At 45.1% G+C, this 22,605-nt stretch overlaps 1 protein-coding gene across 7 annotated transcripts in view, besides 6 other annotated features; it reads right to left on the reverse strand.

Annotated features, from left to right (window-relative positions):
* The window catches only part of SH3KBP1 (SH3 domain containing kinase binding protein 1), a 353,624-nt gene that overhangs the window by 324,196 nt on the left and 6,823 nt on the right, over positions 1-22,605 (reverse strand). The gene's annotated exons all lie outside the window — the stretch shown is intronic.
* Positions 4,384-4,990: an enhancer, noted in NCBI's record as "OCT4-NANOG hESC enhancer chrX:19880674-19881280 (GRCh37/hg19 assembly coordinates)". NCBI's record gives its function as "activates a minimal SCP1, AML or CMV promoter by ChIP-STARR-seq in primed H9 embryonic stem cells {active_cell/tissue: H9 hESC(primed)}" and the evidence as "EXISTENCE:reporter gene assay evidence [ECO:0000049][PMID:30033119]".
* Positions 5,235-5,534: an enhancer, noted in NCBI's record as "active region_29471". NCBI's record gives its function as "activates an Ori minimal core promoter by ATAC-STARR-seq in GM12878 lymphoblastoid cells {active_cell/tissue: GM12878}" and the evidence as "EXISTENCE:reporter gene assay evidence [ECO:0000049][PMID:35858748]".
* Positions 5,905-5,954: an enhancer, noted in NCBI's record as "active region_29472". NCBI's record gives its function as "activates an Ori minimal core promoter by ATAC-STARR-seq in GM12878 lymphoblastoid cells {active_cell/tissue: GM12878}" and the evidence as "EXISTENCE:reporter gene assay evidence [ECO:0000049][PMID:35858748]".
* Positions 17,314-17,363: an enhancer, noted in NCBI's record as "active region_29473". NCBI's record gives its function as "activates an Ori minimal core promoter by ATAC-STARR-seq in GM12878 lymphoblastoid cells {active_cell/tissue: GM12878}" and the evidence as "EXISTENCE:reporter gene assay evidence [ECO:0000049][PMID:35858748]".
* Positions 21,579-21,628: an enhancer, noted in NCBI's record as "active region_29474". NCBI's record gives its function as "activates an Ori minimal core promoter by ATAC-STARR-seq in GM12878 lymphoblastoid cells {active_cell/tissue: GM12878}" and the evidence as "EXISTENCE:reporter gene assay evidence [ECO:0000049][PMID:35858748]".
* Positions 21,799-21,858: an enhancer, noted in NCBI's record as "active region_29475". NCBI's record gives its function as "activates an Ori minimal core promoter by ATAC-STARR-seq in GM12878 lymphoblastoid cells {active_cell/tissue: GM12878}" and the evidence as "EXISTENCE:reporter gene assay evidence [ECO:0000049][PMID:35858748]".

Genomic DNA, 22,605 nt, shown 5'->3' on the forward strand with positions numbered 1-22,605 from the left:
CATCTTAAAAAATAAAATAAAAATAAAATAAATAAAATTAAATTAAAAAGGAAGAGGTTGCTTTCTAGGTAATCTGAAACAAAAGCCAGAAAAGTAAACCGGAGAATCATAAAGCTAAAAGAAAATCATATCGCCCAGACCGTGCTTCACAAAAAAAATAAAATCTCACCAGGTGCAGTGGCTTACACCTGTAATACCAGCACTTTGGGAGGACAAGGCAGGAGGATCACTTGAGGTCAGGAGTTCAAGACCAGCCTGGCCAACATAGTGAGATCCCATCTCTACAAAAAGAAAAACTGTTTTTAATTGGCTAGGTGTGGTGGTACACACCTGTAGTCCCAACTACTCCAAAGGCTGAGGCAGGAGGATGGCTTGAACCCAGGAGTTCGAGGCTGCAGTGAGCCATGATCATGCCACTATACTCCGGCCTGGGCAACACAGCAAAGCCCTGTCTCAAAAACAAAATCTCTAAAGATGCAGACTTTACTCAACAATTTATCTCAGTCAAGATCAAAAGTTCTCCATGATTTGTTATATATTCCATCATCACACTCCATATAGATTTGTGGCAGCTCCCAAGAATTCAACAAAACAAAAATATATGACCAATTAGAATCAGGAAAAATATAGCTAGAAGGTCAAGAGCTAGGAAAAGTTAAGGCATCAGTATGTACAGTATATGACCGCCATATAGAAACCTATCGCTTGGTCAAGCCAAGGTTTGTGTTGCCTCATAGCCAAAACAAAAAGAGAAACGTGATCAATTACATGGTTTACATTTTCCAACTGGAAAGGGACAAAAACTTGATAGAGAAAGAAAAGTAACTGGCAGAAAGAACTTCGCATATGAGGCTTTGTGTAGTACAGTGTTTTCAAGATGAAGGCAACCCAGGAACCCAGGTCACAAGAAGCATTTTTTAATGAAACAGAACTGCATAGAAAATATGAGAGCACATCAAATGTTTGTTGTGAAATTACTATTTTTTTTTTTTTTGAGACAGAGTCTTGCTCTGTTGCCCAGGCTGGAGTACAATGGTGCAATCTCGGCTCACTGCAACCTCTGCCTCCTGGGTTCAAGCTATTCTCCTGCCTCAGCCTCCTGAGTAGCTGGGATTACAGGCACCTGCCATCATGCCCAGCTAATTTTTGTATTTTTGTAGCAACGGGGTTTCACCATGTTGGCCAGACTGGTCTTGAACTCCTGACCTCAGGTGATCCACCCGCCTCAGCCTCCCAAAGTTCTGGGACTACAGGCATGAGCCACCATGCCCAGCCTGAAATTACTATTTCAATCATAACTAAAGACAGGTGTGTTTACAAGGCTGCAAGGTAAGATATATTTCTTACTGGAAGATAGTCCCCCAAATTTGAAAAACATCAAGAAGAAATATTAAGTGGACTTAATTTTCAACCCAACCCATGCCTATACCATCCTGCCTGGCTCTGGGTGGTGTGGAGCAAACTGTGCTTTCTGCAGCAAATCGTGGTCTTAACCCATTCTCCTACTGGTTCCTAGGCCTTTGACCCTGTCCAGTGGGCTTGTTTGCACCTTCTGGGCATTCCCCTAGTGGCAGCACCTTTGGACAAGTATAATAGGTTGGGCTCCCTGTCCCCTCCTGGCCTCTCAACCATCTGGCACCTGTCTCTGAGTCCACTTGCCATCTCCCTGCCCCACTGCATCTCAATCTCCCTTGCTTCTGTGAAAGCCTCAGTCAGGGATGGGAAACACAAAATAGTGCCTTTTTCTGCCTGCTCCAAACTGTCTCTTCTCCAGTTTCTCCAAGTTCCTTTTAAAATGTGAACCAAGTATTCATACATCCATTTTCATGGCAGCATAAATGACACTAGCCAAAAGGTAGAAACAACCCAAGTGTCCAAGAGATGAATGGCTAAACAAAATGTACTCTATCCATACTATGGAATATTATTCCCAGCCTTAAAAAGGAACAGGCCAGGCACAGTGGCACACACCTGTAGCCCCGGCAACTCGGGAAGCTGGGGCAGGAGGATCACTTGAGCCCAGGAGTTCAAGACTGTAATGCACTATGATCCCACCTGTGAACAGTGACTGCACTCCAGCCTAGGCAACACAGTGAGATCCCACCTCTAAAAAAAAAAAAAAAAAAAAAAAGAAGTACTGATACATGCTACAACATGGATGAGCCTCAAAAGCTAAGTCAAAGAAGCCAGACACAAAAGGATAAATATTGTATAATTCTACTTATATGAGGTACCCATAACAGCAAAATCATAGAGACAGAAAGTACAAGTGTGATTACCAGGGACTGGGGGGAGGGGGAATGAAAAGTAACTGCTTCATGGGTACAGAGTTTCTGTTTAAGATGATGAAAAAGTTCTGGAAACAGATAATGGTTACACAACCTTGAGAATGTACGTGATGCCACTGAATTGTACACTTAAAACGGTTAAAATCGTACATTTTATGTTATGTATATTTTACCATGATTTTTAAAAGGCATAACCCCAGTCCAATCCAATTTGAGGGATACTCAACAAAATAACTCTTCAAAAGCATCAAGGTCATGAAAATCAAGAAAGACTGGGGAACTGTTACAGACTGCAGGAGACTAGGAGAAATAACTAAATGCAACACGGATTCTGAAGAGGAACCTAGAACAACCACAAAAAAAGGACCTTAGTGGAAACCCTGATGAAATTAAGCAAGATCTATAGTACAGTATTAGATATAGTATAGCATAGTATAGTATTTAGCATATAGCATTTAGATATATAGTATGATAGCAATGTTGATTTCCTGATTCTAATAATAGTACTATGATTATATAATATGTTAACATTATGGGACGCTGGGAAAGGGATATATGGAAACTATACCATTTTTGCATCTTTTCCATAAGTCTAAAGTTTGTTCAAAATAAAAAGTTAAAAATAAAAACAGCAGGCCAGGCGCGGTGGCTCACGCCTGTAATCCCAGCACTTTGAGAGGCCAAGGCGGGTAGATCACGAGGTCAGGAGATCGAGACCATCCTGGTTAACACGGTGAAACCCCGTCTCTACTAAAAAATACAAAAAATTAGCCAGGCGTGGTGGCAGGCACCTGTAGTCCCAGCTACTCGGGAGGCTGAGGCAGAAGAATGGCATGAACCCAGGAGGCAGAACTTGCAGTGAGCCGAGATCCCGCCACTGCACTCCAGCCTGGGCGACAGAGCAAGACTCTGTCTCAAAAAAATAAATAAAAAATAAATAAAAATAAATAATAAAAAAAATAGCAATCCACACTAAAAAAGAAACAGTGTACTATATGAGGACTTCAAAAAGTTCATGGAAAATAGAATTAAAAGATAAAATTATAAATTTTATTTCTCAACATAATCTCCATCAAGGTTAAGGCACTTTTGCAAGTGATGACACCAGCCACTTAGTTCATCCCTAAAGAACTGAGGGTCTTGGGAATTTAACCATGTCAATGCAGTCTTTTTCACATTATTAACTGAAGGAAAATAGGTGATCTTTACAGATTTTTTTTAAAGATTAGGACAAAAAAGGAGTCAGAGCCAAATACAGACTGTGAAGTGGATGCCTAATGATTTCCCCTCAAAATTCTCACAAGATTGCCCTTGTTTGATACGAGGAATGAGAATGAGCAGGAGCATTGTCATGGTGAAGAACTCTCTGGTGAACTGTTCCTGGATGTTCTTCTGCTCATGCTCTGACTTTCTCAAAACACTGTCATAATAAACAGATTTTATTGTTCTTTGGCCCTCCAAGAAGTCAACAAGCAACATGCCTGGAGCATCCCCAAAAACTGTTGCCCTGACCTTTGCTCTTGACCGCTTTTGCTTTGACTGGACCACTTCCGCCTCTTGGTAGCCACTGCTCTGATTGTGCTTTGTCTTCAGGATGGCACTGGGAAAGCCGTGTTTCATCTCCTGTTACAGTTCTTCCAATAAATTCTTCATGATCTTGATCTCACCTGTTTAGAATTTCCACTGGAAGCTCCGCTCTTGTTTGCACCTGATCTGGGAGCAATGGTTTTGCCACCCATTGAATTTGCTCGGTTTTAATTTTTCAGTCAGAATTGTGTGAGCTGAACCAATTGAGATGTCTGTGGTGTTGGCTATTGTTTCTGTTGTTAATTGTCAGTCCTCTTCTATTAGGGCATAAACAAGATAAATTTTTTCCTCGAAAATTGATATGGATAGTCTGCCGCTGCAGACCTTATCTTCAACATTGTTTTGTCCTTTCTTAAAATGAGCTATCTATTTGTAAACTGCTAATTTCTTTGGAATATTGTCCCCATAAATTTTGTGTAAAGCATCAGTTATTTCACCATTCTTCCACTCAAGCTTCACTATAAGTTTGGTGTTTGTTCTTGCTTCAATTTTAGCAGAATTCATGTTGCTCTGATAGGGGCTCTTTCCAAACTGGTGTCTTATCTTTCTTAGTGCCTCAAACTAGATACTATTCAGACATGTTACAGCCAAGTTAGTGTGAGTTTATTTTGGTGCAAAAAAAAAAAAATTTAAATCCATGAATAGTTTTTTCATAATACCCATTTTCCATGAACTTGTTGAAGTCTCCTCATATAGCTCTGTATTACTTGGCTTTGATCCTTATCCTAAAAGAGGTCAGCTCACAATTGAAGTATCCAAATGAAAAACAAGCACTCCAGGGATGGTGGATCAGCATTTGAAAGACTAATCAGAGTCCATTTGCACCAGAGTTGGTTAATTAGCATGATGAAAACAAGCAGTGGCCCTCTGCTCTAGGAATTGGGTGAAAATATTGTGCCACCATCTCCATCCTCAGAAGAACCGCACAAAAGAATCTAGAAATAACAGCAGTCTGCCCCCTTCAGAGAAGAGGCCCAGGACTGTCAGGGGCCATTGTCAACCACTAAAGGAGGACCCTGTCCCCTCCCTGGGGGTTAGCTGAATCCCGGCACTGGAATACAGTGGCATCTGCCTTGAATGTCTCTTTCCCAAAAGGGGCCCGGCCAGAGGGCTCAAGCTTTGCTGAGCTTACAAAACAGACTGCAGTGTGCTCTCTTTTTTTTTTAAAGAGACAGGGTCTTGCTCTGTTGCCCAGGCTGGAGTACAGTGACAGGATCATAGCTCACTACAGCCTTGAACTCCTGAGCTCAAGTAATCCTTCCACCTCAGCCTCCCAAGTAACAGGGACTATAGGTATGTGCCACCACGCCCAGCTAAAGCAGGGCTCTCTTCATGCCTGCTTACTAACAAGTGTCTGAATGAGTGGCCAAAACGTGTCTGAGACTTGCTTTCACTGTAACATACCTCCCAGTCATGGGACCGTGGGAAAGGATGCACAAAGCTCCCACGTACTATTTCTCAAAAGAACTTGTCAGTTCTTCAAAGTCCAAACCAGTTTAAGTTCACAACAGATTATTTGTTAGAATTCTTGAGAACACATTTAAGGCTCTGTGAGCCTGTACCAGACCGGTTTACATTCTCCAGAGCAGAGCCCTCCTGGGACGGGGTCCCCAGCTGGGCTGCTGCTCTCTCCAGAGAGAGTTGTTTGGACAGTGACACCCAACACCCCCCAACCTCCCTCGGGACACCAAGTGGCCACAATGAACCCCTGAGGCTTTTAGTGGCAAGAGTGCACTGGATGTCCAAAAAGTAAGCAAATAAATTTGTTTAGCCCAGCGTCTAAGTTGACTCAACAGTAGAATCAATCACAAAGCCTACAAACAAAAAAGCCCATGCTTTTATTTTCTTTGGGGCCAGATGTAATCAACCCCATCTTCTATTTTCTCTCTCCCAAGGGGCAGACTCGTCTATCATTTCCTGTCCTCATCCCCCTGCTTCCTCATTCCTCGCTCGCTGGCCAGCCCAGCTGCTACCAGTCATCCTAACTCCCTGCTCCCCTTCACAGCCATCCATCCCCAGGCTCTAGCAGCCCCTGGTAAGAGTCTCAGCTGGGATCATCAAAACTCCAGGACCACCCTACAGAGAAACAAGGTATCTGACAAACTTCACAGTCTAGTGGTCTAAGAGAAACCCTCTCAACTTCCTGAAACTCTGCAAATATAGAAGCCATCTTCCACGTAGGCTGCCACCAAAATGATTGCCCCTTTGGCCCTACCCGACATGGAGATTTAGGAAAACAAAGTCCCTGGTGTGGATTGGCAGAACAACACCCCCCCACCCCCTGCAAAGATTTCCACATCCCAATCCCAAGCAAAAGGGAATGAAAGTTGCAGATGGAATTAAGGTTGCTCATCAGCTGGCCTTACAAAAGGAAGAGTCGCCTGGATTATCCAGGTGGACCCAATGTACCCACAAGGGTTCTTAAAAAGAGAGCGGGGGCACAGGAGAGAAGATCAAGTGACACAACCTGAAAAGGACCTGGGTCACTGTTGGTGGCTTTGAAGATGGAGGAAGGGGTCATGAGCCAAGGAATACGGGCTGCCTCTAGAAGATGGGAAATGGAAGGGAACGGGATTTTCCTTAGAGTTTCCAAAAAGGAATGCAGCCCAGTCAGCACTTTGATTTTAGCCCAGTGAGACCCACATCAAACTTCTGACCACAGAACTGTAAGACAGTAAAATCTGTGTTGTTTTAAGCCACTCATTTTATGGTAATTTGTTAGGGCAACAATAGGAAACGAATATACCTGGTTACCAGTACCACCGCTGCGTCTTTTGGACCTGACGGATAAGCGACTGTTAATGAAGTAAAACTCTCTATGCGGAGCCCACAGCACTTTCAAGTCACTTCCCCCGGAAGGCCGGCACCATGCCCCTAGCACTTATGTCCAAAGAAACCAGTGCCCAAGGACTGAAAACACACTGTGGTTTTGTGTCACAGGGCAACTTCTAAATAGAACACTTTGCCTGTGCCATTTTTGTGAGATATCTGCTTGACACAGATCTTTAAAAAGCAAACCCACTCAGAGTTATTTCTGTAACTGAAGGTGGGCAAGAATGGGGATAGTAAAATGAGACTATTACTTATGAAATGAGCAATGGAAGTTAGGCCTATTCTTATTTATCATTTAATGCATTAATCTGCACCTAAGTATGGTGATGACAATTTCCATTTCAGACCACCCAAAACCCACAGTGCATGGGTCTCGGCCTTGGTGGTGTTCTTTAATGGCCTCAAAGCTGTTTTATGCCAGTCTGTTCTTCTGGTTGTTTGGCTGGTGCCATAAACTCACAGCCAGAATTCATTCTTTGCAACGTATTTTTCTTGTGGTAAGTACCCTAAACCCACAGTGAAACAGAATCCTGCTTAATAGAGGGTGGAGGTGGAGGAGGGGAGCCATGTGAAGGTCAGCACTCCCTATTTCAATAGATTTGGATTCTCCTTCCAACTAGCTGGGAGTGGAGGTTCAAACCTTAACAGTGTTCAACTGACAAAGGTCTTGCTCAGTGATTCTTATTGCCCAAGCTTGAAAGTAGCTACGGATCACACAAGCTGGCCTAAAAATAAAAAGCAACGATTTCCAATGCCAGAACAGTGGGGCCATTTAAGCTCTATTTTTAGCAAGTCTCGGTTACCTGGGAAGCAGCATATGGCTCCTATAATTCTTCAAAGAGTGAGAGCATTAAAAGATTGAAGTGCCTGCGATGAATGGGCTGGTCCCCAAATGACTGTACACACACTGACCAAAGGAGACAGCCAACACCCCAGTTGACCCAACAGGCTTCCAAAGGGACCCACCTTCATGCTGCAATCTCTTAGCCATTAGCAACAGTTCAAATATTAAGCCAGATGACGGAGGAGTTTCCACTACCAATTTATGACATTGAAGACTTTGTGTTTTTGACAGGAGGGCATTTTCTAAGCAATTACTCCCTAGGGAGGAAGAAAAGAATCCTGAAGCAAAACACCAGGGACTGGTTCAAGCTAACATAAAGCAAGAGGAAAAAAGAAGAAAAACATCCCGCATTGCAGGGGGCCAGAGACACTTCCCTAAAATGCAGGATGAGAGCCCTGCTGCAGAAATGAGCACTCTGGCTCCCTTACCTCAAATCTACTGTGCCCAACCCAGGGCACCCAAATGTGCCTCTTTACTCACCCAGGAGGAAGTGTGGCAAGCCTGAAAGCTGACCACAACTAAGGAAGATAAAGGAGAAGATTTCTTCTATGGTAGAACCATGGCAGGGAAACTTTGGAGGGGACAGTAAAACAAGCTAGCCCCTCAGCTACCCTGAAGACAGGGCACGCGCTTTACAAGGGGCTGATCATATAAATGGGTCTTTTCTTGGCAAGTTCAATGCAAAAGAAACTTCTGAGGGCTGGATGCGGTGGCTCATGCCTGTAATTGCAGCACTTTGGGAGGCCGAGATGCCAGGAGTTTGAGACCAGCCTGGGCAACATAACGAGACCTCCATCCCTACAAAAAAATTAAAATATTAGGCAGGTATGGTGGTGCACACCTGTGGTCCCAGCTACTCGGGAGGCTGAGGCAGGAAGATCGCTTGAGCCCAGGAGTTTGAGGGTACAATGAGCCATGATCACACCACTGCACTCTAGCCTGCGCAACAGAGCGAGACCCTGTCTCTTTAAAAAAAAAAAAAGAAAAGAAAAAAAAGAAATTTCTGTTAACGGCTAATCAAAGGCCACAGGAAGATTCTCATACATACAGCAGAAGTGGTCTAGGCACAAATGCTGTTGTGTTGCCAAAATTCTCCCATGGATGGCGTCACTGATGATTTTACCTATATTTTAGGCCTCTTGAGAGAAATACTATCCAAACGTAAACAGACCTTACAACACGACAAGGCCAAGAGCAGGGAAAACTGAGTAGTGCTGGCTTTCTCGGTCGCCTCAACCATAGCCAACATGCACTCGAGCAGAAGTCAATATGCGATCCCATTAAATTTCTGAACTGGTTGGGGAAAATGAGGCTCTGGCTTTAAAGTCACATGTTGTTTTCACTCTTTCAACAAAATTTTTCTTTCGCTGCCTGTTGGTGAGACACTGTGCCAGGCATAGTGATACCGGCATAGACAAGAAGACCTGAGAAGGCTGTGGTCTTGGCCTGGGCGCCAGGGAAACTAGTGCTCACAGAGCATAATTTTTGGAGTCCTTGCAGGAACCCACTGGGGCTTCCTGAACCAGCATGTGCCTTCTCCTCAAGTGGTGACCCTTCTCCTGTGCTTCAGGAAGCAGCCAAGTTAGGGGTGGGGAGGGAGGAAAGGGAAGAGGGAATTATGTCTGGCTACAACAAATCGGATTTCCTTGCATTTTCCAGCAGACCAAGTAAAACAAAGATAAATAAGATGTCTCACGAACCCCCCTCAAAAATAAATAACTCATCCCCAATTGGTGGTGTCTTCCTGTTTATAAACCCCAGGAAAGTGAAATTGCAACTGCAGTGTGTATGAATTATTTTAGTCAGACATGCGATTCTCTTCCACCTCCTAAGCAAGAATTTGTCAGCTCCAGGCTAAGAGCCAAGATTTCTCAAGACAGGGCCTAGGACAACATGGAGGGAAGGAAGGAAGGGTCCAAGCACAGTCTTAGTGAAGCCCAGGGAGGCAATGAAAAGGGGCCGAGGATGGTGCTGCTGGATCCAGGAAAGGACAAATGAGTCTTGCTGGCCCCTGCAGACTCCTAAGTTATCACCACAGAAAGTTTGTCCTATCTTATATACAAAAATGAGTGCACATAAATTTGACAAATTAGCGACTTAACCTCCCCCATTATCAGAAGAAAGTGACTGATGAAAGAAAAAAAAATTGATGAAAGAAAAAAGAAAAAGACTTCTAAATCGAGCTGCCTAAAGGAGTAGGGACCTGTAATGACTTCCCAAAGACCCCATCTCCAAATAACACAACATGAGGGATTAGGGCTGCAACACAGGAATGAATAGGAGGGGGATGCAAACGTCCAGTCCACAGCAAGCTGGAGGGCCAGAGGGTATTAGGAAAGGAGGGTTTGATTTGTCTACCTACTATGTGCATGCAATGTATGATGAGGTGATTATTGCACACAAGGCGGCTCTGGCCACGATGTGCTAGTGTGGGCTTTTGTTATTGTTTATTTGTAACACATCTGGGCCCCTACTGTGCGCCGGGATCTTAATACGCACCTTGTCATTTAATCCTAGGGATGCTAGCTGCTCTGTTAGCTTCGCTGAGGAAGCTACAAGTACAACAGTGGATGGGAATGCCCTCCGCAAAAGGACTGTGGCAAACAGAAGACTGATGGATGAAATTGTCACTCATGAGAAAGACCTCAAAAATATGCTTTGTTTTTTAGGATTACTTCAACATTTGAATCCCGACAATCACAAAGTATCAGAAAACAAAGTCCTCTCTTCAGCAAATTCACCAGTTCTGACAACTTAACACTTAAAATATATCCACAGCCATGTGATTGGCAAAAATGCGATGGTATGATATGGCAGAAACTGATCATTCTCTCTAGTACCCATTATCCCCTTCCTCTTTTAAAAAATACAGATGCTTCTCAACTAACCACAGGGCTACATCTGCATAAACCCATCGTGAGTTGAAAATATCCTAAGTTGTAAATGCACTTTTGACTTAGGATATTTTCAACTCACGATGGGTTTATGGGGACATGATGAGGAATGTGCTGAATGCATGTCATTTTTCCACCACTGTAAAATCAGAAAACCATTCAATCAACCCATTATAAGTCAGGGACTGTCTGTAGAACCCATCCCTTCCCCTACGGTAGACAGAATAATGCTCCCCAATCCCCACAAAGTATGTCCATGCCCTAATTCCCCGAACCTGTGAATATGCCACCTAAAGTGGCTAAAGGGACTTCACAGATTTGATTAAGGATCTTGACATGAGGACAGTATCCTGGATTAACTGGCTGATCCCAGTGTAATCACACGGATCTTTAAAAGATGGAAGAGCCGGAAAAGGAAATGAGATGAAGGGAGGAGGGGTCAGGGTGATGTGAGGAAGAGGCCAGAAGCCAAGGCATGCAGTTGACCTCTAGAAGCTGCAAAAGGTAAGGAAAGGAATCCTCCCCTAGAGCCTCCAGAAGGCACTCAGCCCTGCCCACCCATTCTGGACTTCTGATTTCACAAACTAGAATACAATAAATTATGCTGTTTGCAGCCATTACATTTGTGGTAATTTATTACAGCAGGAATAGGAAATTAATACTCCTCTGCCTTCAGATTTTGCTGGGCACATGGTTACACAGCTGGAGCCTGTTTCCTCAGACTCACCTGCAGCTGGGTGTGAGACTGTAGCTAAGTTCTTTGCAATGGGGTGTGGGTGGAAGTGATGTAAGCAGTTTCCATGTCATGTCCTTAACGAAGAGAAGCTACTCCCCGTCTACTTCCCTCTGCCATGGGCTGAAAGGTGGACACAGTGCTGGTGAGCCAGCTCCGACCATGTCCACAAGAGAGAAGGAATCTGAGCAAAGCAATTCACTCACCCTGACCAGTCCAGTGGTCAGGAGGCAGTAGCCTGAGAAGGAAACAGCTATGCTGTCTTGGGGTCTCTGTGATGGCAGTTTAGCCTATATCCCAATATATCTGGGATACCAAATATTGGCGAGAACAGGGAGTAGCAGAGATGTTTACACTCTAGGAACACATATTTTGAAAATCAATTAGGCATTCTCTTCTAAAGCTGAATATTCATATACTCTCTCCTTCCATGAATATGTTATCTTCTTCATTCATTAGTTTGTTCATTCACTCAGTTCTTGAGAACATATACTGGCACAACACTTTGGAAATCCAGCAACTTAAAACCCAGCAAAACCACTCCTTGCTATGCACATTTAAAAAAATACACTTCACACATACACCAGAGACATTCATTCAAATGGTGATGGGAAGTCTGTACATAGCAGCAAAAAACTGGAAGCAAAGCAAAAGTCCATCGGGGAGAAAGGGTAAGTATACAGTGGCATGTTCAAACAATGGAATACCAGACAGGAAAAACACATGAACTGCAAAATCAGAGACAACAAGCAAATCACAAGTCTCTGCAGTTTCGGTCCCAGTTTTATAAAACTAAAAACAAGCAAAACCAGACAATATGTTTGTTTTTAAGAGATACATATGGAAATGATAAAATTATTTCTTAAAAAAGAAGAAAGATGATTTTAAAAAGACTTAGGGTGGTTGCTTCCTCTAGGGAAAGAGGAGGGAGGGGACAGAGCTGGAGCAGTGTTTTAGTTCTTACATCAAGAGATGAGTCCACAACTACACATTTCTTTTTTTTTTTTTCTGAGCTGGGGTCTCACTCTGTTGCCCAGGCTGGAGTGCAGTGGCACGATCATGGCTCACTGCAGCCTCAACCTGCCAGGCTCAGGTGATCCTCCCACCTCAGTGTCCTGGGTGGCTAGGACTACAGGCATATGCCGCCATGCCTGGCTAATTTTCTGTATTTTTTAAATAGAGACAGGGTATCGCCATGTTGCCCAGGCTGGTCTCGAACTCCTGGGCTCACGTGATCCGCTGACCTTGTCCTACCAAAGTGCTGGGATTAGAAGCGTGAGCCACCATGCCCAGCCCACTACTATACATTTTATAATGATGTTTGATGTCATAGACATGACATCAACTATCATATCAGCTTCCAGAACTGATTTTATTGTGTAGCACCACATGAGAAGGCCTCAGAGAGAACTGTGTGAAGGGATTCTCACAGTGGTTTGAAGAGAGAAAAGAGATGGGATAAGCAAGTGAACACAAAAGACCGCACCAGAGCAAGCAGTATGTGCCTGTCACATCACCAAGCAACAACCTCACGGCCGAAGCACACCGCCGTGTCTCCTGTTACTGCTGATCTTCATGGTAGTGGGTTTAAGGCAAAGCAGGAATTATTGGGAAATGTTTTCCTTGTGAGGGGAACTTTAGCACTCATTTGAGAAACCCCATTCTGTTTTGTTTCTCTCTAAACTACCAGTGAGGAGGGAGTTTCAGAGACTGACTAGACATTTTTCTATCTCACAAAGCTGTCTTCTAATTTGATGTGTTTTGCTAAAATTTATATCTTTCCTTCTTTCTGGATAAATAGAACTTTCTCAAACAAACACCCTTTGGTTTAACTGCTTATTTTGTTGGGCGATTCATAAAATGACCACATCACAATCTTCACCCAATTAGGGAAATGAAAGTTAAGAAAAATGAACAATTGAGGGAAACTCTAGATATGTTTGAGGAGTTCCCCTGGTTATCAGATCTTATGCTTAACAGGCACTCAATAAACACTTCTAGAATTTAATTGAATTCCAATACACAGCAGTATTGAGTCAACTGTTTTGTTTGTCCTACAAATTCAAGTCAGGTTATGTTCACAATTTGAAAAGGTAACAAAGGGATAAAGTATATGGTACATATTAGCACCAATGCTTTCTAACATTTATTATCATGAACTTTAGAACTTTCACTGAAACTTGCCCCTGAGATGGCATCATAAATATTCAACTTATTTTTTTAACAGGTACATGAGCTGACATTTGACGTACACTTGGTGGCTGAAGAATGAATACTTTCCACAATCCTGTCCATTACTGAAAGTGATGAATTAAAAAGGCCAAGGCGTTGAGATGGTTCATCCAGCCTGGCTCCTGGGGGTTCTAGCCACCCTTACGTGGTGCCCTTTAAAGCTAAGAGCACAATTTTTTCAGAGGAGTGCATGATGACACAAAGCTAAGCTAGAAACCACAAGGGGATTATTACAGCCACGACCTTTCCCTTGCCAGCAAGGGACTTGGACCCCTATCTCAGCCAAACATGAAGTCACATGGATGGCTCAGGGCCTTCAGGACACAGTTTTCCCTATGGTTCTGGGAAACAAAATTCCCTTAAATATCAGTCAGGTAAAAGAATGGTGGCCGGGCACGGTGGCTCACGCCTGTAATCCCAGCACTTTGGGAGGCTGAGGTGGGTGGATCCCCTGAGGTCAGGAGTTCGAGACCATCCTGGCCAATATGGTGAAACCCTGTCTCTACTAAAAATACAATAATTAGCCGGGCATGGTGACGCATGGCTGTAATCCCAGCTACTTAGGAGGCTGAGGCGGGAGAATCGCTTGAACCCAGGAGGTGGAGGTTGCAGTGAGCTGAGATCGCGCCATTGCACTCCAGCCTGGACAACAAGAGTGAAACTTCATCTCAAAAAAAAAAAAAAAAAAAAAGAAAGAAAGAAAGAAAGAAAGAAAAAGAATGGCAAAAAGCGGGAGAGAAAACAAAGGAACCAAACCCCCAAGGATTTCACCTTTCACTGTGTATCCTCTAATCTTACACCTGAACTCGAGACCAGGATTAATTGCCCCACAGTGGTGCAGTGAAATAGGGACAGTGCTGTGGAACATAAAAGCCCACATGCAGTTGCTTTTAGAAGTATCAGTTGGGGCCGGGTGCGGTAGCTCACGCCTGTAATCCCAGTACTTTGGGAGGCCGAGGCGGGCGGATCACGAGGTCAGGAGATAGAGACCATCCTGGCTAACACGGTGAAACCTCATCTCTGCTAAAAAAAAAATACAAAAAATTAGCTGGACATGGTGGCGGGCGCCTGTAGTCCCAGCTACTCGGGAGGCTGAGGCAGGAGAATGGCGTGAACCCGGGAGGCGGAGCTTGCAGTGAGCCGAGATCGCACCACTGCACTCCAGCCTGGGCGACAGAGCAAGACTGTCTCAAAAAAAAGAAGTATCAGTTGATCTGTCTCCATCTCTCTTCTCTCTCTCTCTCTCTCTCTCACACACACACACACACACACACACACACACAGAGCACATATAAAAGGGATGATAAGCCATATGAACACAGAGTTTCTAGAACTAAAACTGAAAGCAAACACATGGAGGACAAGTACCCTGCCAATTCCCATGTGCCAATTCCCTTGGACTGAACTCTTCTTCCTTCTCATCATCAGGGGCCAGTCCAGTCATTTGGGCATCTATGGAGATAAAGAATGGATATAAAATGCCACACTGCCTACAGTGTGATTTCCTTACAGGATAGAAAGGGGACATATGTCCATCACATCCTCGTCTATATAATATCAAGATCATAGAAGCTACCTAAATGCTCAAATGACAGGGAAATAGTTACATAAATTAAGATGCATGAACTCAAATATTCAGCTACTAAAAACACTGGCTTCAAAGATGACTATGAAGTGGAAAAAACAAGGACATATATATATATATATGTATATATATATATATATATATACATATACATATATATACATGTATATATAAAATACATGTACATATAGCAACAAGTATATATTAATAGTAAAAACCCTGGCTGGGCATGGTAGCTCACACCTGTAATCTCAGCACTTTGGGAGGCCAAGGTGGGTGGATCACCCGAGGTCAGGAGTTTGAGACCAGCCTGGCTAACATGGTGAGACCCTGTCTCTACTAAAAATGCAAAAAATTAGCCGGGCGAGGTGGCAGGCACCTGTAATCCCAGCTACTCGAGAGGCTAAGGCAGGAGAATCGTTTGAACCCAGGAGGCAGAGGTTGCAGTGAGCCGAGATCATGCCACTGCACTCCAGCCTGGGGGATAGAGCAAGACTCTATCAAAAAAAATAAAAATAAAAATAAAGAAAACCTAAAAAGAAATACACCAAAATATTTGGGAATGATAGTAAGAGGAGTTCATAAGAAAAAAGAAATAGTGCCAGGCACAGTGGCTCACACCTGTAATCCCAGCACTTTGGGAGGCTGAGGTGGGTGGATCACTTGAGGCCAGGAGTTCGAGACCAGCCTGGATAACACAATGAAACCCTGTCCCTGCTAAAAATACAAAAATTAGCCAGGCATGGTGGTGTGCGCCTGTAATCCCAGCTACTCGGGAGGCTGAGGCGGGGGGATCCCTTGAACTGGGGAGGTAGAGGTTGCAGTGAGCCAAGATCATGCCATTGCACTCCAGCCGGGGCAACAGAGTGAGAGTCCATCTCAAAAAAAAAAAAAAAAAAAAATATATATATATATATATAAAACTCTAAAAGAAGTACACTAAAATAAAAATCACAGTTATTCTAGAGTAGGGACCCATGGCTGGCTGTGGGATGGAGAAGGCCAGTAACCCTGTCCCTGGCTCTTCCTGCCCTGTGGGATTGAAAATCTGAGGCACGCAGCAATACTGGGTTTGAAGGAAGAAATGGGAGAATGTGGGAAGGAGGAGGAAGTGCAAGAGAGAAGAGGGGTTGAGGGAGAGTGGGCACTGGGGCCAGAGTGGGGTTCCGGGGAGAGAACTGGGGTCGGGGGAGAAAGAAGTGGGCAGAGAGACAGAAAAGGGGGCTTGGGGGCAGATGAGAGGATGGGAGAGAGGAGAGGAAGAGTTGGGGGGGCAAAGTGGGGGGGTGTGGAGGTGTTGAGGGGTGAGAGAAGAGAGGCAGGAGGGGGAAGAAGAAAGGAAGAAGGGCTTAGTAAGAACAGGAGAGGAAGTGTGGAGAAGGGGGCAGTGGAGAAGGGATGTGGGCAATGAGAAGGGTAAGACACAGGGGCCAGGAGAGGAGGGGTGAGGAAGAGAGAAAATAAGAGGAACGGGCTGGGAAGAAAGGGGCAAAACACAGAGGGGCTGAGAGGAAGGGAGAGCAGAAGTGGGGAGGGTCAGGAGGCTGGGGGTGGACAGTGAGGATGCGGGGAGAGAGACTAAGAGGGAAAGAGAAGGTGTGGGGAGAAGGGGTGTGGAAAAGAGGGTGGAAGGGGAGAGGGGGTGCAGGGGAATGGGAGAGAGATGCGGGGACAAAGAGCGTAGGGGAGATGGATCTGGATGAGAGAAAGTGAGGGAGACAGGGTGAAGAGGAGTGAGGGATGAGAGAAAGGGTGAGGGGATGAAGAAAGAGCAGAGAGAGAAAAGGTAGGGGGAGAGAGAGGAGAAAAAGAGGGGGAGAAGGCAGGAGGGAGGAGATAGGCATTAGGGCGAGAGCCCCCTGCCCGCTTTCTGGAGCGCATCTCTACCTCAGGGGTTAACTCGTCAGGCGGTGGCTGTTTTTTACAATGTCTACATCTCTTCCTCCATTTAAAAACCCACAGGTTCCCTAAAAGCGCCAGACGATGTCACAACTGTACCCTTCCCCCATGGCATGCTATCACCAACCCATCCAAGGGCCCCCAGAGGCACAGACACACTTTTTAACGGCCGCCAACTCAATAGGTGACATGGAGCTTAGTCACACAGTTCAGGAGCTCAAAGGATTAAAATAGCCCCATTACTCTGAAGCACAACTGTTCTCGGCTCCGACAAGGGCCCTTCCTCAGGGAGCCTCATAGAAGGGACTCTGTGAGGATGGAATGAACATCCTGGATGGCTAGAGCACAGAAGAGGCCACACGGCCTCACATCAGTCACTCCTTTGTCAAGAGGAGGGCAGGGAAAATGAATGCCAACACTGGCAGGCGGTCTAGCATCCTCACTGAGAGTGCCTGGCCCGAGGGCAGCCCCGTAGCACCCACTCCTCCACAGGGCAGGGCTTCATTTGGGTCCTCCATGCGCCCTCCTTCAACATTTACACCAGGACTGGAACTGAGCACCTCCCGCCCACCATGGATGTGGGCATGGAGCAGCCACCTGTGTATATGGAGGGTGGAGGTGGGAGGAGACAGAAGCTCCGGTGGGCTCAGTCTCACTAACAAAAATGTGGAACTGGGACCAAATCAAGTCACACTTAACAGGCATTTGGAACTGTGGCATGTGCCCCATGAACAAGTCACACAGAAGAAAGGGGACAGGGAGGAAGCATGGCCAGAGGGCACACTGGGCAGCTGGCCCACACCTAGCTCCAGCTGCTGCTTCTTGGGGTCCGGCTCCTCCAGCAGGCACCCTTGGGTTGCATGAGAGGTCCCTGTGGCCCCAGAATAAGCATCCCTTTTGCTCAGGTTAGCGGGCCCTGCTTGGCTTCTATCATTTGAAGAAAGTCCTTACTATATATACAACATGAAAGTGGGAAGACTGTTCCTGAGTTCAAAACCCAGATGGGTTAAGGCCGGGCGTGGTGGCTCACGCCTGTAATCCTAGCGCTTTGGGAGGCTGAGGTAGACAGATCACCTGAGGTCGGGAGTTCCAGACCAGCCTGGCCAACATGGTGAAACCCCATCTCCACTAAAAATACAAAAAAATTAGCTGGGCATAGTGGCAGATGCCTGTAATCCCAGCTACTCGGGAGGCCGAGGCAGGAGAATCGCTTGAACCCGGGAGACACAGGTTGCAGTGAGCGGAGATCACACCACTGCACTCCAGGCTGGGCAACAGAGTGAGACTCTGTCAAGAAAACAAAAACAAACAAACAAAAAAAACACCTAGATGGGTTAAGATCCAGGACAAAGTTTCTGTCAATTAATAACCCAGATCAGCTGAGCCTCAGGACAATAGAGCAGTCTCCTGGAGAACTTTTCCGAAGTCCACCTATCCCTCCATCAAAACTAGATGGAAGGACTAGGCATAGCGTTCCAATGCACATCTCCGGGGGGGAGAAAATCCCCAGCTAGACAGAAGTTCACCCATCATCAATTAATCAGGACGTTAAAAAAGGAGGGGAAAATAACAGAAATGCCTCTGTGTTGGTATACATATGAAAGCTCCCTGGAAGAAAACTTGAGAAACAAAATAGCAGCAGCCTATGGGGAGGGTCACTGCATAGCTGAAGGACAGAGATGGGAGGGAGACTTTTTCCCGTAAACACTTTTTCACCTTTTGAATTTCGAATCCTGGGGATATATAACCTATTCCAAAAACTAACTTTAAAAATGTCTCAAGCAAGCAGCTGTAGTCATTATGCCCCAGAAAACAGATGAAGACAGTGTGAACTGCTTCCCCCTTTCCAATTTTTTCTTCAATTGGTGAAATCTTCCACCTCACTTTTCCCCCCACAATCCACCCTCCGCAAGCCAATTACTTTCATTTGTTTCCTGACAGCCAAAAGCAGCAATTAAGCTTTAAAAAAATCACCATCAATTAACAAACACTTACTCTGTCCATCCTGCTTCATGGATCACAGATGAGCTCATTGACCTACTGTATTTGAGTTGACACCTCTCTTTGCCATCTAATAGTTTGTTGAGAACAAAGGGGTAATTAGAAATCACTGGCTAAGTGGTTTAAAACTGTCCCATTTCGGTCAAGTTGTGAAGAGATGTTTTTGCTGGTTTTGTTTTGATGATCAAAACAGGAGAAAGGCAAAGTTCATTTACGAAGTCACTTCTGTCAAGTGAATTTGAGAAGCTATTATGTAAAATGCTCATCAAAAGACAGCACCCAGAACACCCTGGTGAAGAAAATTGAGGTCCATGAAGATGCTGGCTAAGAGGAGGGGGCAGCAGAGCAAGAATGGCCTTTCCCAGTCTTCATCCAAAATGAGGGCCAAGCGTCTCCGTCTAGCTCCAGGCACAAACCTAAGAACTAGCTGGAATAATTAGACAGGACACTAAGCTAATTAAAGACTTTTCACATGGGGAGGTAACATGTGATGGCTAAAACTGGTGCAGCCCCAGAGGACCAGACCTAGAACATGGCCCCAAGTCTTCTAAGTCTAGAACAGTCCAGAAAAATCTGGCAAAAACACAAGGGCTGGTGTTTGCATACTGGCTGGTAAGAAGCTCAAGTGTAAGGAGATGGTTGTTTAAACTGTCTATACATGCTGTACTTGGGTGCTCAAGGACTTAAATTTATTATGCCAAATGAGTCATTAATAAGCATTGAAATGTTTATAGTATTTTATCCAAGATAGAAATAACAGTATGAACTGAACTGCACTTCATCTTGCCACTCTGTCACCCACACCTGGAGATGGACCAGCCTCCAGCAGTGCCCCCACCACTTCCGTGGCCACAGAAAGGAAGTAAGCAGAGGCCTTTTCTGGTCTTTTCTTGCCAACTGGATAGTATTCCGTTAGGACAAGTATCACAGGATTTTTGTTATTAGTGTTTTTTCTTTGTAAGGCTAAATATAAGCACAGTTGACCACAGAGTTAAGACCCATGAGCTACCTTTTGCCTTAAGCATCCCCTAATGAAAACTACAGAACTGCCTGCAAGATATTTATCCATAAGATAATGATCAAGTTGAAAACCAAGTGCTCATGATCACAGGTTGCTGGTGGACCTTTGCCAGCTGAAGGAATTTAAGTGAAGAAACGTGGAATGATATCAACCATGTGTGTGAATTCGAGGGATCTGTTTGGCACTGCAGTGTTTTCTCCCATGATGTAGACCTTTTTTTTTTTTTTTTCCTTGAGACACGGTCTCACTCTGTTGCCCAGACTGGAGTGCAGTGGTGCGATGTCGGCTCACTGTAGCCTCCTGCTCCCAGGTTCAAGTGATTCTCCTGCCCCAGCCTCCTGAGTAGCTAGGACTACAGGTATGTGCCACCACGCCTGGCTAATTTGTGTGTGTGTGTGTGTGTGTGTGTGTGTGTGTGAGAGAGAGAGAGAGAGAGAGAGAGAGAAAATAAAGGGCCTCCCAAGGAAATATCAACCAAAAACACACACACACACAAAAAGCCACGCTTTCCCTTTTCCTATCTTCCTTTGGAATCTCAACTGGGATCCTTGGGCTTCCAAGTGTTCTCCAAATTGGCTGGCTGGTCCAGGAACCCCCAGGGGACATGGATTCTGACCTTCAAGTTAGAAACTTACTAGGGAGGGGTGATTTTAAAAAAAGAAAGTTTTGGAACTAGATAGTGGTGATGGTTGCAAAGCATTGTGAATATACCCAGTATAACTATACACTTAAAAGTGGTGAAAATTGCAAATTTTGTTACATGTTTTAGCATAAAATTAATAATGTACCAAAACCCATTGAATTGCACACCTTAAATGGATAAATTGTATGGTATGCAAATTATACATCAATAAATCTGTTTAAAAAAAACTTACACCCTGGTGTGATGGCTCATGCCTAATCCCAATGCTTTGGGAAGCCAAGGCAGGTGGATCACTTGAGCCCAGGAGTTCGAGACCAGCCTGGGCAACATGGCGAAGCCCCATCTCTACAAAAAAATACAAAAATTAGCTGGGCGTGGTGGCACGCACATGTAGTCCCACCTACTTGGGTGGCTGAGGTGGGAGGATCGCTTGAGCCTGGGAGGTCGAGGCTGCAGTGAGCCTTGATTGCGCCACTGCACTCCAGCCTGAGCAACAGAGTGAGACCCTGTCTCAAAAAATAAAAAATAAAAAACTTACTACGGAAAGAGACTGTAGCAAGAGCCTCACGAGGGGAAGCAGGAGCCTGACATTTTCTGAGCACCTACAGAAATTGGGCGGGGCTGGTTCTTCCATACTGGAAGGCAGTTGGGTTCTACCACTAGGGGACCATTGTCACTCTGCCTCTCTGAGGCTCAGTCTCATCATCTGATGTCATGGGCCATGACTGCCAAGGCTCCTTCCAGCACTTCAATGCCAGGGACCAATATGTGAGTAGCAGAGGACCCATCGCCTGTCCCCCCACATAAAAGCACATCCCAATAGAAAGACAAAACATTACAGGGGCCAAACACTACCAGAAGCAAGTTTAACAACTTCGTGCCCCAAAGCCCTTGCCTCTCCCCAGCTTAACTACCTAGGTATCAACGGAAGAGAGGCAAGAGTTGTGTTAAGACACTCTCCATTCAAAGAACAAAATGGTGAAAGTCCCAAAGAGTCCTGTTCTCTAGTGACTTGTAGGTTCGTGCATAAAACGAAGACTGTGGTTACATACAAAGCCTTATGTTCCAGAAGGACTGATAATGAAGTAAGGAAATGGTGCTCCAGCCATCTGTGTTAATAAGCCCCCGGGGTTCCCCCAGAGCAGGCTTCCTTAACCTCAGCATGACTGACATTTGGGGTCAGATAACTCTTTGTTGTGGTGGTGCGGGGGGCGGCTGGCCTGTGCATCGTAGGATGTTTAGCAGCACCCCTGACCTCCACCTAGTAGATGCCAGTAGAATGACTCTCCACTCCCCTGACCCCCGCCACCAGCTGTGACAACCAAAAGTGTCTCCAGATAGTGCTGTGTCCCCCTGGTGGGGAGAATTGCCCCCAGTTCAGAACCACTGCCAGAGAGAATTTTCTATCTTAAAATGTGCAGTTCTTTGTTAAAGCCATGTAATACATGTGGCATCACCCTTCTCACCCACTACAGTGTGGGCCACCAGGAACTGTCAGCAAACAGACCTTGTCAACATGCTCTGCCCAGGGGACTTTACAGAATTGCACACTCACTCCTGGTGGTCCATAGTCGTGGAGAATTGCAAGTTGTAACCGTATTTGGGTGAAAGGGTTACATGTTCATTCATTAACATATGGCACTTACTGTATGCCAGGCAATGTGCCAGGGCAATGGAGCTGAGCAGATCCAGTTGGAGATGGAGACTTAATACAAGAGGAAATGTTGTATCACTTTACATTGCATGCCTGTATCAAAACATCTCATGTACCCCACAACTTTATACACCTGCTATGGACCCACAAAAATTAAAAATAAAAAATGTTTTAAACAAAGTATGGTACAGCACACCTTTGGAGCAGGCTCCCACAGATGCACAAGCGGTGTGGGAGGCTGAACAATGACTTCCCAAAGATGGCCATATCCTAATCCCCAGAACCTGTGACTATGTTCCCTTCCATGGCAACAGGAACTTTGCAGGTGTGATTCACCAGGCATCCTGAGAAGGGGAGGGGATCCTGGATTATCCAGGTGGGCCCAGTGTCAA

This window comes from Homo sapiens, chromosome X (genome assembly GCF_000001405.40).
Source record: "Homo sapiens chromosome X, GRCh38.p14 Primary Assembly".
Taxonomy (NCBI): Eukaryota; Metazoa; Chordata; class Mammalia; order Primates; family Hominidae; genus Homo; species Homo sapiens.